Here is an 18,785-nt window from a genome sequence, read left to right as displayed (position 1 = left end):
AAGAGTGTAATGAATGTGTTAGAAGTCAAAATTCTCACTTGTAGTCAATTCACTGTGTCAAAATAGATTGAAGACTCCACTCTGAAACACAAGGATGTTTATATCAAAGACAATGCTTGAAAAGCATTTTCATACTATAATGTGAGATTTCATTTCTCCCTAAGGCTGAGGATAGCAAATTGAAATAGTATCTTCTCATGACATATTATTTCAAAAGAAAAATATTCACCATCACAGTAAAAATTTTTATTACAGTAATTGTCCTCCTGACAACAGCAACAATGATGCCAATTGACAGTAAACTACATACCTGGGGAACTGACAGTTCTAGTGTTATAAGTAAGAATTGAAATCTTAACATTAATAAAATAGAAATTATGTCTTGTTTTATGATTTTGCTCTTTTTACAAGTTTAGAAACCCAAATATTGGCTTAGATGTTATTTTCTAAAATAGACTGTATTATAACATTTATTTTAATATCACAAATTTGTCCCTAGATCTGTCAAATCACTTTTAATGAGGATTTTAAATAGGAATAGAAAAGCTTAGCCGACTCAACTACTAATTTAAAAAAATACATTTTTCTTTTCATCGTCTGTCAAAATCAAACATCCAATTCCTTTATTTCTCAAGTGAAGCGTAGAATGTTTAATCTCCTTGTAAACCAGGATTGTTCACTTTTGCCTTACATCTGAAACTGAGAGTTTTAAATGGCAGCACAATCACACTTTAACTTTCCTTGCCAAAAGCCATCAATAATGCAGTGCTTAAATGTGTTCTAGTTGAATCTCTTTCACTGTCTGCATTCTGATGCCCTCCACTACAGGTCTCTTCTTTCATAGATTACTGTGTCTATTGCTATCATAGAATATTTAGTGGAGAGGGCATCCTAGAGGCTTAGTGAAAATGAGAATATAATTCCTTTGTCAGAATCCAGTTCTATTTCTACAGCTTCAGAATCCAATTGGCAACTGCCTCATCATTTGGCAGGCGTCTGGCCTTTCACAGACCCAAGGCAGAGAGGCTGGGCTGAAACAAACTATATGGCTCTTATTGTTCTTTGAAATTTGAAGATTCAATAAAATTATAATGAGGATTGTAGAATTCTGTTATTTAGTTTATGTCGATCTATCTATCTTCCTGTCTAGCTAGTCTTTCTCTTACTGTTTGTCAACATTTTCTTCATATAAAAATCCTTTTATTTGTATTTTAAAATTCTATTTGTCTGTTTCTCTCTGGTTAAATTGAAAAATTGTGACTTCAAAATAAACATAAGCCCTGGCAAAGACTAGCTACTCTCTTTAATTCTTCCTGTTTAGCCTATATTTTTAAATCTTTGACACCTGAAGAACCCACAATCCATTGATCCTATGACATCTTTATGTGCCCTAACCACTTCATATCCTCTTCTCTCCATTCCAAGCTTAACTTCTATGAATCACAATTATAATCTCCCTTTTTTCTCAACTTTTTGACCTTTTATTATTTATTGTACTTTTTTGTTGAACCACAGGCCTGTCTTATCAAACTCTCTAATAGTAGGAGTCTGCCCTACACAGGTGAACAGAGCCTCCCATGACCTTCCCATTATACTGACTTTTCTCATTTATCACTCATCTCAGGAGGGCCTCTATGCCGGTCCACATGGTCCTATATTTCCCTAACCCTTTTACTCTTCCACGCTCCTCAACCACTGACTCGTATTTTATCCTCCGTCCTCAAACCTCCTTCACTCTCCTTATTCTCAGCTTTGATCTTGCTCCCTATATTATTGAAAAAAAAATAAGCAGACAATATCCTATACAAGCTTTTTCACTATATTAATCTTATTTACCAGAATTCCTGCATCTGTGTCTGTACATTTTACTTTCCTCTTATTATTTTAAATGAATCTATTGTGCTTAGATAAGAAAAAAAGCTTTATTTTTCTTATCTAAGTACATAGAGTGGGCGGGAGGCGGGGGTTAAAAGGCTACATATCAGGGAATATGCTCACTACCTTGGTGACAGGATCACTCATATACCAAGTCTCAGGGATGCACGATTTAGCCATGTAACAAATCTTCACATGTATCCCCTGAAACCCAAATAAAATTAGAAAAAGGGAAAGAAACAAAGAGCAGTCTCTTGAAGTAGGAATTAACAAGGTAATCAAACAAGCTTAATTGTATAGGAGTAGTTTTAATACTATAATTAGGTAGATACATATCTAAATGTGCACTTGAAGTCACCTCCTTTTGCTACTCAGAAATCTTTCCTAGCTCTCCTCATTGATATCCTCTGTCTCTTTCTTTCTTTCTCTTTCTTTCTTTCTTTCTTTCTTTCTTTCTTTCTTTCTTTCTTTCTTTCTTTCTTTCTTTCTTTCTTTTGAGATGGAGTTTCACTCTTGTCTCCCAGGCTGGAGTGCAATGGCACAATCTCTGCTCACTGCCCCAGGTTCAAGTGATTCTCCTGCCTCAGACACCTAAGTAGCTGGGATTACAGGAGCCAGCAGAGATGGGGTTTCAACATGTTGGCCAGGGTGGTTTCGAACTCCTAACCTCAGGTGATCCACCCACCTCAGCCTCCCAAAGTGCTGGGATTACAGGTGTGAGCTACCACGCCCAACCTATCCATCCTCTCCTTTTAAATTTTTTCTTCTGCTTCGTAGCTTCCCATCTAAACAATACGAAACAAAGCAAACCAAAGCAACTCCTATATACGTCTTCACTTTTATTTTACTGATCCCCAAATCTCTCCCTGACATTACCACTTTGCTTAATGAAAGGATAGTCCATTTCTACTGTCTCCAATTAGTCTGCTTGCATTCTCTTGAATCTGTGACAATGATATTTTCACACCCTTCCCCAACAAAACTGCCCCCATCAAGATCACCAATGACTGCCACATTCCAGATTTAGAGATCATTCTTGGTTTTAACCTTATTTGAACAACCAAAAAATCCCACAACTAAGTTAATCATTTAGTCTTTGAAAGTGTTTTTTAAATTTCTCTAGACAACATGCTTACCTGTTCTTTCCGGATCGTGTTCCATCTCTTTTACTGGTTCCCAGTTGGCTCCCTGACCTCTTAATTTTGGAATTTGCTAGTGGCAGTCTTTGGACTTTTCTGTGTTCCTTCTCTGCTCACTTATTTGATGCTTGCATTCTGTCTCCTGGCTGGCGACCCTAAATAATTATTTCAATCTCTTAACCTTCAGACCGTCTTAACTGAATGCCAGGCTGCATCTGGATACCTTCGCTGCTTCCATTCTGCTATACAACACTGGTATCTCTTGCATAGGTTATTTTGATGGCCTTTTAACTGGTCCGTTTTTTGTTTGGTTTGTTTTTCCCCACCCTCTGCTCATAAAGTCTATTTTGAGCACACTTGTCAAAATGGCTCTGTTGAAATATGTTTTATTATTACACATCTTCATTTAAACACTTTCAAAGGCTTCCCATGTCAGTCAAAGTAAAAGCTACATTCTGATAATAGCCTTATGGAGCCCTCTATGATGTCTTCCCCCTCCTCATTGCCTCTGGAACCACATCTTCTATTTCCTCCCTCTAGCCACACACTGGCCTAATTGTGCTTTCTCAAACGTGTCAAGCAAGCTACATCCTCCAGATATGAGTATTGATTCTCCTACCTCCCTTAAGTCTTGATCCAAGATTTGCCTTTTTAGGCTTTCTAGATACTCTATTTGATGTTGCATAAAACATGCCCAGGACATTTATCCTATTTCCTGCTTACTTTTTCCCATATCTCTTATTACTACCTAAAATGTCTTACTTACTCTGTTATTATTTTTGTTTCCCATCACCAGTACATTATCTTCATGTGGACAGAAGTTCTGTAAAGTGTTTTGTTAACTGTGTAAACCCCAGGACTTAAAATCATACTTAGCTTATACAGGGCATTTGATTAATTTTTTAATAAGTAACCTCTAGAGATATAATCATTTTTATAAAAGTTGCGTTTTACCACATCAGTGTTATAAATATTATTTTTAAAAATAAAATTTGATTAGTTTATATAGTTTGACATATAGCATATAAAATGTATAATATTCAAATTATATGTAAAACGTGTTGTATTAGTCTGTTAAAACAAATGGGAATATTGCTATACCATATCTGAGACCAAATATTGTATTTTGTTAAATATATTTTGAAGTTGAAAAGTTGTTTTTTATTAAACAATACACAATATATTTTAAAACTTTTTAGTATTCTGATAAAGAAAATTTTTATAAAAAATAAAGTAAAGGATTAAAAAGAGATTATAAATACCTGTGTAAATAACACTCAGGTCAATAAATAGAATATTCTCACTGCCAAGAGAGGACTATCTTTCATGTCTTTTCCACTCTTGTGTATCTGCTACAGAGGTGTCACTATGTTGCCTTTTATAGCAATCAGTTGCTTGCTTTTCCTCTGTAGTATTTCCATTTAATTATATACTCCTAAAATTATAATTTACTTTTGCCAGTTTTTAAACTTTATATGAATAAAATAATATTGATCATGTTTTGTGTCTGACTCCTTGGTTCTACATTTTGGTTCTAATTTTGAGGTGTGATTTTTTTTCTTTGTATTCTAACTAATTAATTGGCACATCTATATAGTATTCCATTAGGCGAGTATACAATAATTTACTCATCTGCACTATTTATGGATATTTTATTATTTCTAGTTGTCAGCTGTTACAAACAAAGCTATCATGAACATTTGTTTACAATATCAGGTACAATATGAAAGAATTGCCACATACTCAGAGGTGGAAGTGCTGGTTAGTAAAGTGTTCAAATCTTATTAGGTAATGCCAAACTGATAAACAAAAGCAGACTTTTATTAGTGGCTTACGGGCATTCTTGTTGTTCAACACATTTGCCAATACTTCCCGTTGTCCATTTTTGTAATATTTAATTTTTGCCAATTTGGGTTGGTATCTTGCATTACATTGCCTGTTCATGTGGCACTTTTGTGTCTATCAATAAGATTTTGAAGTCCTTGGTCAAATATTTCTCTCCTTTTCTTCTTGAGTTTCTTAAAAATTTTAAGGAATTATTTTTCTATTAAAGATACAAATGGCTTGTCTGATATATGTGTTACAAATAGGTTTTCCATGCAGGTTTTCTTTCCACAATCTTTAATTGACTTTTAATGAAGAGATACTCTTAATTTTAATGCAGTAAAACTTATGATATGCTTTTATGCCTTGCTTAAAAAGTATTTACCCATTACAAGGTTATGAAGATGTTTTATTGTGCTATCCCATAAATATTATATTGTTTTCCTTTTCACAGGAAGGATTATAATCCACCAGAATGAATTTTTATGTATGATATGAGAAAAGAGCTTTTTTAATTTAAAAACTTAACTGTTGGACTAACCTTGACTTAGGCTCATGCAAGTTTTTATAGATTTACATTAGCTTTCTTAACTGAATACTGCAAAAATAGTGAAAATGAATTATTATCATTGTCTAACTTATTGTTCGCTAGTTGCACATTTTTGCCTGATGTAAAATTTTTTAAATAATGCTTAAAAAATAAAACCAAGTAAATAAATAGCATTAATATGGCAATAAGGCACTTGAATTTTATATGGAGTCATTTTAATCTTGTAACTAGGGTGATACATATCTACACTTTCCAATCATGTAACATTTAGATTTTGCTCATTTTAAGTCAACATCAGTTGTCTTAATGGCAACATTCAGCATTCAAAAGTTTTCCAACTATTTTTCATAATACAATATTTGCCTTTTAATCAATGCATTCAAAATAATAAAATTATATTCTTCAAATACCCAAATTTTTAAATTATTGTATATGTAGAGTAAATCCATTTAGTGTTCTTATGAAATAAGAGAAAAGTAAAGCTTATAAAATTTTGCAAATTTGATAATGCACCACTGGAAATCCTTAACCTGATTTTACTTTGTTTGGATTTACTAGTTAAATATGCTGATAAATATAATTTACTGGTAATTATTTTATTTTGAGTGATGACTATATTGACCTTAATCTTGAGAAAGCAACCAATGCACAGGGTTTCAATTAAGTCCTGTGAACCATGACAGTAGCTTTTTTTACATGCCACAAGTATCTTTTTTATATATTTGAACAGTAACTGTTAGTATGAATTGTTCTCATAGTCTCGAAATCTGGATCTATATTCAGTATCTGTTTTTCTTCACATATTGGGGAAAATTGAATTATAGTAGGTGGATGTAAATATCTCAATAGGATGTACTGAAAAACACATCTTCTTAACCAAATTCCACATAAAAATTTATAAAATATACTCCAACAGAAAACAAATGGAAAAATAAAATTTATTTCTGTGGCCTTGCTTTTTGCTTTGGTTTTTAAGATTTAAGCATATTTATTTTAAAAGCTTGAATAGTAAAAGTAGCTGTGAAAAGTAGAAAATACTATAAATGCTTAAATTAATTTTTCCTGGCCGGGCGCAGTGGCTCAGGCCTGTAATCCAAGCACTTTGGGAGGCCCAAGCGGACGGATCATGAGGTCAGGAGTTTGAGAACATCCTGGCCAACATGGTGAAACCCCATCTCTACTAAAATACAAAAAATTAGCCGGGTATGGTGCTGCGCAACTGTAGTCCCAGCTACTCGGGAGGCCGAGGCAGGGGAATCCCTTGAACCCGGGAGGCAGATATTGCAGTGAGCCGAGATTGCGCCACTGCACTCCAGCCTGGGCGACAAAGCGAGACACCGTCTCAAAAAATAATAATAATAATAATAACAATTTTTTCCTATTATTTTAATTAACAACGGAAGTATACATTATGTTTTTAACTTGCTACAATATGAATTTAAAAGTATGAGACATAGGAGATTGCTTGAAAATATTGTTTGATATTGTTAACTATAAATACACGAATTAATATATGGGCTAACAAAGATAATTGGTCATCAGAAATATGTACTTATGAGAAGCTACTCCTTCAGTAAATACCAAATATCTTGAAAGAGTAGCACTGTTCTAAAACTTCATAAGATCATTGGTAAACCGTGTATTTTTCTCAGTCATTACTTTCCAAAAAACTTGTGTAAAAAGAATTTGTCTTGTAGCTTAAGGCTTCATTTTATCAGTCAAATTAAAATAATCCATATCCAAAGTTAGTCAAAGTGTATATTTACATTTTTAAAAAATTGACTTCAACCAGTGAGATGTTATAAATGTTTTATCATGTATCACGATTTCTTTCGCTGTTGTTGTTGTTTGAGACGGAGTTTCACTCTTGTTGCCCAGGCTGGAGTGCAAGGGCGTGATCTCTGTTCACCGCAACATCCTCCTCCCCGGTTCAAGCGATTCTCCTGCCTCAGACTCCTGACTAGCTGGGATTACAGGCATGTGCCACCACTGCCGGCTGATTTTGTACTTTTAGTAGTGACAGGGTTTCTCTATGTTGGTCAGGCTGGTCTCAAACTCGCAACCTCAGGTGATCCGTCTGCCTCAGCCTCCCAAAGTGCTGGGATTATGGGCGTGAGCCACCGCGCTCAGCCCATGATTTCAAATAGTATCTATGTTTAACCAAAAAAAAAAAAAAAAAAAAAAAAAAGAGAGAGAGAGAGAGGGAGGGAGGGAGGCATGAATTCCCTTGGGAATTCATGAAATAATAGATTTGTGAATTCTCAAACAGGACTGAGCAATATTGGGTTCTAGACCCATATTTGATATCAATTGGATTTGTATTCTTCACCAAATTGTAGAATTTACATAAATAATTTTGGCATAATAATTTTAAATCTTTTAAGTCTCAGTTTTTTTATCTGATAAATAAATATGTCAGACAAGATCAGGGCACAACAAACTAGGGGTCATTCGCCAAATGAGGCCACAATCGATTTTTGTGGAAAAAAGTTTTACTGTAACACACTCTCATCTACATATGATTTATTGCTGTGTTTACAAATGCACAGCTGAGTATTTGAAATAGAGATCATATGGTGTATGCTTTAAATAATTACTGTCTACTCTTCAGAGAAAATATTACTGACCTCCGGGCTAAATGATCTTTTAGGTTCCTTTCAGCTGTTGCATTTGTTAATAAATGCTATATAATGTGGACAGGTACAAAATGTGAAAAAGAAAAAACAAATTTTTGTTTTCTAAAAATTCACCAATTTACTCTGTTAATCATAGATTCTAGTAGCATATTTTTCCCAAATACTTAAAGCTGCTACTCAAAATGTTCTCATCGTGTACATGAATACACATGATATTGTCCAATTTTATCTAATAACAAAAGAATAATTAAGTAGCCAAATAAATGCAAGATAATCAGAAAGACTGATTCATGATAAGATTGCCACAATTAGAATTTTATAGCAAAGAACGTAGATTTCCTGGGAGAGCATCAGTGTGCTTTGATAAGATTTTACACAGTAATTTTATTTGTATTCACCAAACCCAGATCAAGATTAGGTGGTCAATTATTGAACTACTTCCAAGAAGCAGAGCTTGTCCGCAATAATACTGTCTATTGACCAGTGAAAGTTATTTAAAAGTTCAGCAATGTTTATTTCAATATTGATAATACATTCTTGGAAAATTTTAGAAATGAAATGGGCTGTATAAATTACTTACTTTAGAAAAATAATAACTATAACAAAAATGGAAGTGATGAACGACAATAAGTCTGTAATTGAAATTACAGTGTTTAAAAATAATAAGATAATAAAACCACATGAACAAGAGGAAGAATAGACATAATCTTATGCATAAAACTGGCAGTAAAACTACTTTTACCTGTCTTTAGCTAATTTGGGAAATATTAGCTGAATATCCAATACATTGCAGCTGCCTTTTCTTTCAAGGCAATTCTTCAGTTCTATCTGGCTGTGGTCGATGGCATTATTGTTCAGCAAATATTCCCTCTGTCCACCTCCACTCCTATAGGTTGCACTGATGTTGGGTTTCATCAGGTGACCTGCTTTGGCTAATAAAAATGGTTATATGTGATCACCCTACCTCTAAGCAGTGGCTTTAAATGTGCTTCAATTCATGACTTTGCATTCCTCTTCCCCAAGAGAAGCATAATGTTCTATACCTACTGCTTACTTAACTGTGTTCCAAGAATGAATAATATGTGAAGCTCACTTGAATTTAGCCTTCAGGTTAGAGTGGAGTGGTGACAGCTAGCCCTCAGACTTGTAGGCAAAAGTAAGTGTTGTCTGTAGTAAGGCACTGAGATTTAGGAGTTCGTTGTTACACAGCGTTATAAGTCAAAAGCTGGTTAATACAGCAGCCTTAGAAAAATGCTGACTCTATTCCTTTCATTTCTCCAGGAAAAGTTCCAGTATAACTTACAGACTTTGGAAAATCTTATAATATATAGAAACGGTAAAGAGATCCCCATACCGTAGAACAAAGTGTTATTATATTTCTGGAAGTTCAGACTATTTCATTGGTTCACATCATGAGTAATAATTCAAAGTGTAGGCTTTGCATCGTTCCATTTTTATATCACAGGTTGTATTTAAATTTCATTCTTGGACATCCATTATATTTCAAAATAAATATATAGGTACTATTTTCAGTTGTTCAGCCTCTCAACTCTGCAACTTCACTATCATCTGTATATTTGTTATATGCTCACCATGTCTTCACTTCAAAGGTAACATGTCAAAAAACTAAAATAATAATATTTTTAATATTTTCCTTCATCTCTGTATGCCTTACCACTATTTATAGAATTATTACTTCCAGAGTATTCATTTTAAACAGATTTTAACGATGCAATTTTCACCTCATAAAATATGCTATGTAGATTATACTACCTTGTTATACAATATTTTTCATATTATTTTGTCAATCTCTACACCCACTAAGAATGTTCTAGTCCTTCTGTGTGCCATTCAACTGTTTACCTAGGTTGGCGATATTAAATTTGATAATAGGCATAAAATGATTAGCATGTTTGCTGACACTACCTGTGCCCAATACATTTCATGATTTCTATTAGCTCTGGTCTACCTGCTCTGATTTAGATTTGTTCTCCCTCTTTCTCTCTCTCTCTCCTCTTCACATGCATGCACACAAATACACATTCATGTGTAAACAGTTGAGAAAACGTTATGTTAAAAAGAGTTTGCATTATTTCAATATGTTGGAATGAATTCCAGCAATGCTAATCTTGAGTCAAAACAGATAGACTGACGTTCATATAAGGAATAATGCAATGATAATGCATTATTCAAAAATAAATTTTTAATTCTAATCCACATCTTATTATCTAATTCACTACAGACAGGCTAACCTCTTTGGTTTGTGATTTTCTTATTTGTAACAAAAAAACTAATTCAGATAATTGATTTAAGAAAATGCATAAATCATTTTTCACAGAAAAGGTATGTGATGCATATTTGTTCTCATAAATTTTTGTTTTCATTATAAAATTACTTGCTATTTTTAGGCTTTATCTGCATACAAAATTATTATAAATAAAACAAAAATATTACAATTTTAAACATTTTTCATAAATTATTTTATTCAATCTTTAACATAAACCTTCAAGATGGATAATAAATTATTATTCCTTTATTAAAAATCAGGATACTGCATCTTAAAGATGGTAAATACCCTGGTCAGGATCAAGCTACAAAGAATATAAGTTATAGAAATGAATTTTAAACCCCAGTTTTCTTGCTACAAACCACAGGCTCTTTAATATGTACACTACATTGCCTCTTAAAATTTATCCCAATATATGTATTACAAAACGTTTTCAAACAAAATGGTCTCCACAATCCCCATAGTGAGTGGTCTTCACATTGCAATAATATAACGCTTACTCTTAATTAACTGAAATTTGAACTCCAAGAAAAATTTCTGGGTAGAAAACCAGAATGATAAAATTATACAAAGGCAAGCTGCCTGTTCTGTCCTATTATTTACCCTTCCTCTAAATAATTTTAGGTTCTTGAATAATGTCAAGGAAAATGCCACCAAACTGTGTTTGAACTCTGCGGGAGAAAATAATGAGTGGGTAGAGAAGAGTCTAACAATCATAGTGTACTTGTCCGTTCTCACACTGCTATAAAGAACTACCTGAGACAGGGTAATTTATGAAGAAAAGAGGTTTAATTGACTTACAGCTCTGCAGGCTTTGCAAGAGGCATGGTTGGGAGGCCTCAGGAAACTTACAATCATGGGGGAAGGCAAAGGGGAAGCAATCATGTTTTACCACGTCAGAAGGCGAAGGGGAAGCAAGCACATCCTACCATGGTGGAACAGGAGAGAGAGAGAGTGAGGGGAGAGGTCCCTCACACTTTTAAACAACCAGATCTCATGAGAACTCACTCACTATTATGAGAACAGCGAGGGGGAAATCCGCTCCCATGACCCAATCATCTGCCACCAGGCCCCTCCTCCAACCCTGGGGATTACAATTTGACATGAGATTTGGGTGTGGACACTAGACATACTTTATCACACAGTAACTTTGAACTATACTTCATTGCTTACAGTGCATTCTTCAATGGCACTGATCAAAGCAGATGTAATGGAGGGTCTGGTAACTTTAAAAAAGGCATACACACACACACACACGATATGCAAATACCTACCATAAAATATAATATATAATATATAATGCTTATAACATTATTTTCCATCACCAGATTCTCCATTCATTCTATGTGTGTGTGCATGTGTATGTGTGTGTATAAACACATGCATGTATATGGTTATGTACTTTAGGATTATAGTACATATAGGCATTTAGGCTTTGGGTGTTATGGTAATGCAGACTGCACCATGATTGACTTGGAGGAACAATGAATCCTCATGAGGCTTACAGAGTGAGATAGGCAGTATGACTTCCATTAAGGCACCAGGTGTTTATTCTATAGTATTGCATGAGGTGATGCCATGAAACAAAGGTGAGTTGTGAGATATATGGATATCTGCAAAGTAAATATTTAGTAACACAATTTAACACTTAAAAAATGTTAGCCTGCAAAGAGGATATTTAAAAAAAACCTTAAAATACAGATATTGGAGAGGATTTGGGAAGAGAGGATTTGCTGAGAGCTGCTGCAACACTTTAATTCCTACTCTCCACCAGCCCAAACTCAGAAAATATGCAACCACATTGGGATCCAGACTTTAAGGAACCCAAAAAGCAACTCATAGGCTGAGGGGGTGATGAGGGAAAATGTTACCAAAAGCCAAGCAAATTCCTCTCTATCAAAGGCTTATAGTGCATGTGGGGTAGAGAGAAAGGGTGTCTTTTCTCTAAATGAAGATTGACATGATTTTTAGAACACTTTCACGTTCTGAATTTAAACGTGTTATTACTTAATGGGGCAATAGAATCATCCATTTAATAAGAGTCAGGAGAAAATTCACAGGGCATGCTGACTTTTCATTCAAAGGAGGGTCATTATCACTGGATACACTTTAAAGAAAAAGTGACAAAAAATAAATCACCTTTTCGTTACATTCCATGAGTCAGGCTAATTCAAGATTCTAGTTTCATAGTGCCTGTTTATTTGAAATAGGCATCCCTACTATGAATCTGCTAGAAATCATGAGGGTTGTATTTCAACTCAATTTAATATTTATTTTATTATACACAACATATAAAACAACAACATAATGTATCATCAGTGTGCACATATGAACAAGATGTAACACCTGAATTCTAACACACTGCATTATGTAGGAGAGATAAGTACACCAAAATAAATTAACAGAAAATGAAAATGGAAACACCATAATGGTACAAAAACACTAAAACCAGATGATCTCAAACATAAATCATAGTAAGTTGGAAACACAAATACTTTTTTTATAGAAATAAAGAGTGAAGCCAGGAAATGCACCTGAAGCAGGAATTATTGAAGAGTAAGCAGGGTTTTGACAGGTAGTCCTGATGAGAGGAATAGAGATTCCAAACAGAGTGAGATGCATGAGAAAGAAGTACTCAGAAATAAAATACAGAATACTTTCAAGAGGCACTGGGGACATCAGTTTGAAGAAGATTCCTTGGTGTCTGTAAGGGAAACTGAGAGGTAACTATTAAAAATAAGAAGTCCATATAGAGGGTGAAAAATCCAGGAAAACATAAAAAAGATCTCTTGAGACATTCTCAAATAATTTTAACTCAGGTATTCTTTAACTCGGTGGACTTTAAGGATCATTAATATGATCCACAGGAACTCAAGAGTAAAAATGATCATGCAGAATATAGCAAATATCAATTTGTTGGATCCTACAGGAGATAATAAGATAGGGGCACGGGCAATAAATAATGAAACACACCTATGTACTAGAGTGATAAAGAGAAAGGAGATAACACGGATGTAGTAAGTGTGAAAAGGATTCAAATTAAAATAATTAACATTTCATAGAAATTGAGAGGAGAGAAAAAAATAAAAGTCACATAGTTTGAGCAAGTATGGTTAAAAGAATAGTGGTACAGCTGAGGGAAATGGAGATGTCAGGAAGAGAACCAAGAAACTAGAAAATATTGAATGTGTGAGTTTTTTTTTTTTTTTTTTGTTAACTTGATGGGCATGAATAATCAATAGAACACCCACATGGAGATGCTTGTCATATATTTAGACCTTCAGATACGAAAGTTCCTTTTAGAGATACAGACTTCAAACATTTATATCAAATTTAAAGAAGAGGACTTATACCTAAGTAAAATTCCAAGGAAAGAGAAAAGAGCAAAAATAAAACATTCTACATAAAGGAGACTGAACACGAAAGGTAGTGAAGCAGATGGAGAAAGAGTATTCATCAAGGAAGGGGGACAAAGATAACAGAGTGAAATGCAATCTAAGGAAGGAGATATTTTCAGGAGGAATACGATTCATAGTGGCAAATGTTTCCCAAAGAGCAAGAAAGATGAGAACTGTTTTTTAGGTAAAACTATCATCAAAGACACTGAGAAAACTTTCTATAATGCAGAGCTTCTCTAATTTTTCCTCTAGAGTAATACAAACCATACAATAGCTCAAAAATGTACACACGAGGGAGAAGAAAAGAGGGAATCAAAGCACTTCTCAATTCAGAAATTGGCATCTCATGTCAGAATATGTATGTATGTGTATATATACTTCAATATTAGCTCCTAATTTATTTGTATTATACTAATAAAAGAATTAAATTACACTCCTTTCCTAACACCAGTGATTCAATAGTCTAATTTTATAATTTTATTTTTAATGTCACTTCTTCATTTATGCAATTTAACTTTAGAGTGAAATTTTTGTTTTCCATACATGGTCTAGTCTTTTCAGCTGCCATGTTTTGATTATATTATAATTCCTAGAGATGCTAGAAATTTATATCTGACCTATCCTAGTTAATATGCCAATTTATCTTTAATGAATTCTTTAATCTACCATATGAGCATATGGAAAAATGGGTATTGAATTTAAAAAAGAAAGTTGAGTTCAAATTTCAGCTGCTACAATTAAAAAACTTGAACTAGAACAAAGTATATTAATTTTTCTGTGATTTGTAAAATCACTGAAATGGTAAAAAACTTATATTAAGCAGCTGACATGAGTGTGACAAAAATAAAATTATAGCTGCAAAGTAAAAGCAAATTGTCTGACAGCCAATAAAATAACAAATAATGGCTATTGTGTTTATTGACAATTAGAATTAAACTGTCTTTATGATAATAGGAATTGTTCTCCTTGGTACAACTTTGAAAAAATGATAAACAAGTTGCTGCTATTCTCTTACTAAATATCTAGAAACTACATAATAGCTCACATCTAGAAATTAACTGCTGAAAAGATCTCACATTTATTATTTGGCTGATTCTCAGAAGTAGTTTAAGGTACAGAAATGACAGTATTACCTAAATTTAAAGAATACAAAACCAAATCACAAAGAGGTTTCCAACAGAAAGCTAGACATAAAACACTCACTCTTGAATTCCTAGTTTCATTCCATTATTTAAATACAATTCTTATCACAATAATACAGCATCATTGATTTTCTCCATTACATTAATTCCACTACTCTAATATATAACCCTCTATGCGAAAATTTCAGCAAACTGATGCAGGTACAAAAAACCAAACACTGCAAGCTCTTACTTATAAGTGGAAGCTGAACAATGAGAACACATAGACACAGGGAGGAGAACGACAGGCACTAGGGGATGGTGTGGGAGGAGGGAGAACACTAGAAAAAAACAGCTAATGCTTGCTAGGCTTAGTACCTAGGTGATGGATTGATAGGGGCAGCAAACCACCATGCCACACATTTATCTATGTAACAAATCTGCACATCCTGCACGTGTACCCTGAAACTTAAAAAAAAATAGCCATGAGGATCATTATAAAAAAGTAAGACAAATGCTGTGAGTATCATCTTTTAGAATTATACATTTAGAGACATGTAAAAGTCATGTTTATTTGATTCCAAAATACTTTCAGGATATATGTTGAGGAATTCTTTGTTTGCTTTGTTTTTTTACATTTATGTAATTTTTATTTTATTTTTTGTATTCCAGAATTTTAAGTAATAAATTTGAATTTATCAGAACAGCTATACACTTTTAAGATTTTCAACTATAACATAATTTCAAACTAAAGTGTATTCTCTGTGTTTTTGAAGATTTTTTTAAAGCAAATAGCTTTATTTACTTTTCCTGAGTAACCAAGATCACTCAGGTAAATGTGTTTTCTAAGCTGCCATGACACCTGTGTATATGAATTGATCATGATTAGTAAATAGATAGTTTTAAATATGAGATACTGCATTGAGCTCCTGCTTTCATGAAAATTGAAGGTGTATAGTTTCATTTTCTAATAAACCTATATGAGGGCATACAAATTCAGGGAGCTGGTAATAATTTTAAATTAATTGATGCCATCAGGTTTTCCTAACAAACATAGGTTATGCCAAACGACCAAGAAAAAATCACAAGCATGCACAAACACAGAGACACACACACTCACACACACACACGCTTTTAAAAAGTTAACCTAAGCTAGGGTGATTAATCTTTGCAAAGAAGTTACTGTATTTTCTATATTCACATTAATTTTTCTCCTCTTCATTTTATAATCTAACCATAGATAATAAGTAGGTGGATATGTACATATGCAGACAAATAGATAGACAGGACTTTTATATAAGCTTAATTTAAACAATTTCGTAAAATTTAATGTGAGATGCATTCAGTAATAATTATAGCCATAGTTGGAATAATCTGTGAATAAGTCATGTAAGAAAATAATAAAGATTTGGAGATACACAGATCATGTTTTGCTCATCCTGTTCCACTTACACAATTCTATAAAATTAAAAAAATAAAACGGAGACAGAAAAATATGTTAGGAAAATATCAATCCCAGAACAGGGGAAGAAATCTGTAAAATTATTTATTTAATCAAGGACATTCCACTTATTTGGTTAAAATGTGTCTAGCATATCCTTAGAAACACGGTAAAAACAAAAGTAGTTGATATTTATCATATTGCAGATTATTAAAACAAAATCTAGTTTTATTGCTATTGACAACAGTTGACCATTACCGTTGAGGCAATAAAAATATGGATGTCTTTGTACTTTAAAAGTGAAAATAGATATTGTTCATGGTAGTTATTTTTTGTTGAGTTTTGTTTTTCTGTTCCTATCTGAATGTGATTTAAGATTGTATTTCTACTACTCTACGGAGATAAAATTTAATAGTATACAGTACTGTCACCTGATAGATTCTTAAACTGTAAGGTATACTTTTAAAATTCAATCTTCATAGATTAATAAAAATACAACATTTTATATATATATGCATATATAAAATTAATATATAAGACTAATATGTACCAACCACTCTGCCAATATCATAATTGCTGCCCCAAATCTGAATTATTTACAAATAAGAATAAGAAAATTTCTTATTCTTTACAAATAAGAAATAAGAAAATTTCCTCTTTTACAACTTCTACTCAAAATTCTACTGTAGGTCCTAGCCATTGTAAAAAGTTATATATAAATAAATCAGAAAAATCAAGAAGATAATAAAATGGGTTATTTCATCATTATGTTTTTGATGAATTTGGTCATTTTTTTGAAGTATTTATTTGAGGAGGCAACATGAAAGCTTCAAATAGCATTAAAATTATTATAAAAATAATATAGGCATATTTTGTCATAATTTATAATATGATGTATCTTGCAATCTATTTTATGCTTTATAATTTATTACACACATATTATTAGTTTGCTGGTGTTATCATTGAGTAGGTTAAATAACAGAAATTTATTGTCTCACAATTCTGGGAGCTACAAGTTTGAAATTAAGCTATTTGCAGGACTGGTTTCTTCTGAGTTTTAATGGAAAGATCTGTTCCGACCCTCTCTCCTTGGCTTGTAGACAGCCATCTTCTCCCTGTCTTTTCACATCATCATTCCTCTATGCACGTCTGCCTCCAAATTTCCCCTTTGTGTAAGGACACCAATCACATTGGCTTACAGCCCACCATAATGACTTCATCTTAACTAATTATATCTGCAAAGAACCTATTCCCAAATAAGGTCACTTCTGAAATTCTGGGGCTTAGGAACTTCACATAAGAGTTTTGGGAGACACAATTCAACTCATAACATACGTACATTTAATGTTACTTAAAACTGACTTGTTCTAAGAAATTAATATTACATATCTTCAAAAACTTGCATCAGTAGTCATTTTTCAAATGAAATTTGACATTATATATGTTTGATAAAACACATTCATCCAAGAGAACAATAATATTTGCTAATTTTTCACTTCTTTCTGAATTATTTCCAGCTTTTTTGCTTTTGAAAGCTAAATGTGCTGGGCCAGTAAAAGCTGGAAAATTATGTATTTTTGTAAGTATAGTTTATGTGAAATAAGTTTAAGTTTGATGCTCACAGCATTTGACATATTTTATTCAGGAGTCCAATATTTGCAAATACAAAAAATCTTAATTAAAGCTACTATAAAACATGCCTTCCACTTTCCTGATATAAAGTATATTTTCTAATTTGATGGATTTCTCATTATCAGATAAAGCTCTTAAAAGGGGAAGAGCTTGCAAATAAAACAAATAATGATAATTGTTATTGTTTTGGGCTGTATATAATTTAGTATATAAGAATTTTTCTCTAAAAATAATCATCAAGATTTCAAATTTCCTTAGTGACTCCATCGCAATAATGGGCAGTATATATTTTAATGAAGTCAATTTTATATCAACGATGCCTGAATAATAATGAAGAGTTTCCATTTCCCTCCAAAAATTCTTTTTGCCTATTATTACTTGTTGTCTATAGATAAATTAGCCTGTTGTTCATTCTGACGTTTTCTTTTTGTGCAATTAATGATACTCAAGTGTTTCTATTTACATATAAAAGAATAATTGAGATGGTTAACTTACGTAGTCAGTGAGGCTTTTCTTGGTTTTAGAATTCTTCAAATCCAGAAACTCCCTCTCCAGAATGTATGTCCTTGCAGTATGTCCTGGTTAAGTTGTCAGAACATTTGGACTAGCAGGATTTGTTTTTTTGTTAGAGGGCGCGGGATAAGGCAAGCAGTTGAACTTAAACCAGATGTTGGTATGAAGGCATTGACATTTTATGTGGAGCATTTGCTCGCCAGAAATATTTATATTTTCCTTTTCTATTTTGGAACTGTGTATCCAGTATGGACATTTAGAATTTCCTCCCCCTCTGCTCTCATTTCTTTGTTTTCAGCAGACCAGGAATCTCATTTCTTCTCAGATTGGCCAAACAATTTACTTAAAGAGAAGATTAAAAATTTTATC

The 18,785-nt window shown here is 33.0% G+C and overlaps 1 long non-coding RNA gene across 2 annotated transcripts in view, besides 1 other annotated feature; it reads right to left on the bottom strand.

Moving 5' to 3' along the window:
- LOC105374686 (uncharacterized) overlaps positions 1-18,578 on the bottom strand; it is a 55,146-nt gene extending 36,568 nt beyond the window's left edge. For both annotated transcript variants that reach the window (XR_925850.2, XR_925849.2), the window contains exon 1: positions 18,399-18,578. This is a non-coding gene — a long non-coding RNA (uncharacterized LOC105374686). The remainder of the gene's footprint in view (positions 1-18,398) is intronic.
- Positions 7,221-7,515: a silencer, noted in NCBI's record as "tiled region #1276; K562 Repressive non-DNase unmatched - State 24:Quies". NCBI's record gives its function as "represses a minimal TATA promoter and a strong SV40 promoter by Sharpr-MPRA in K562 cells {active_cell/tissue: K562}" and the evidence as "EXISTENCE:reporter gene assay evidence [ECO:0000049][PMID:27701403]".
- Positions 18,579-18,785: the final 207 nt, after the last annotated feature.

This window comes from Homo sapiens, chromosome 5 (genome assembly GCF_000001405.40).
Source record: "Homo sapiens chromosome 5, GRCh38.p14 Primary Assembly".
Taxonomy (NCBI): Eukaryota; Metazoa; Chordata; class Mammalia; order Primates; family Hominidae; genus Homo; species Homo sapiens.
The sequence above is the reverse complement of the archived record's forward strand: the minus strand, read 5'-3'. Positions and strand labels throughout refer to the sequence as shown.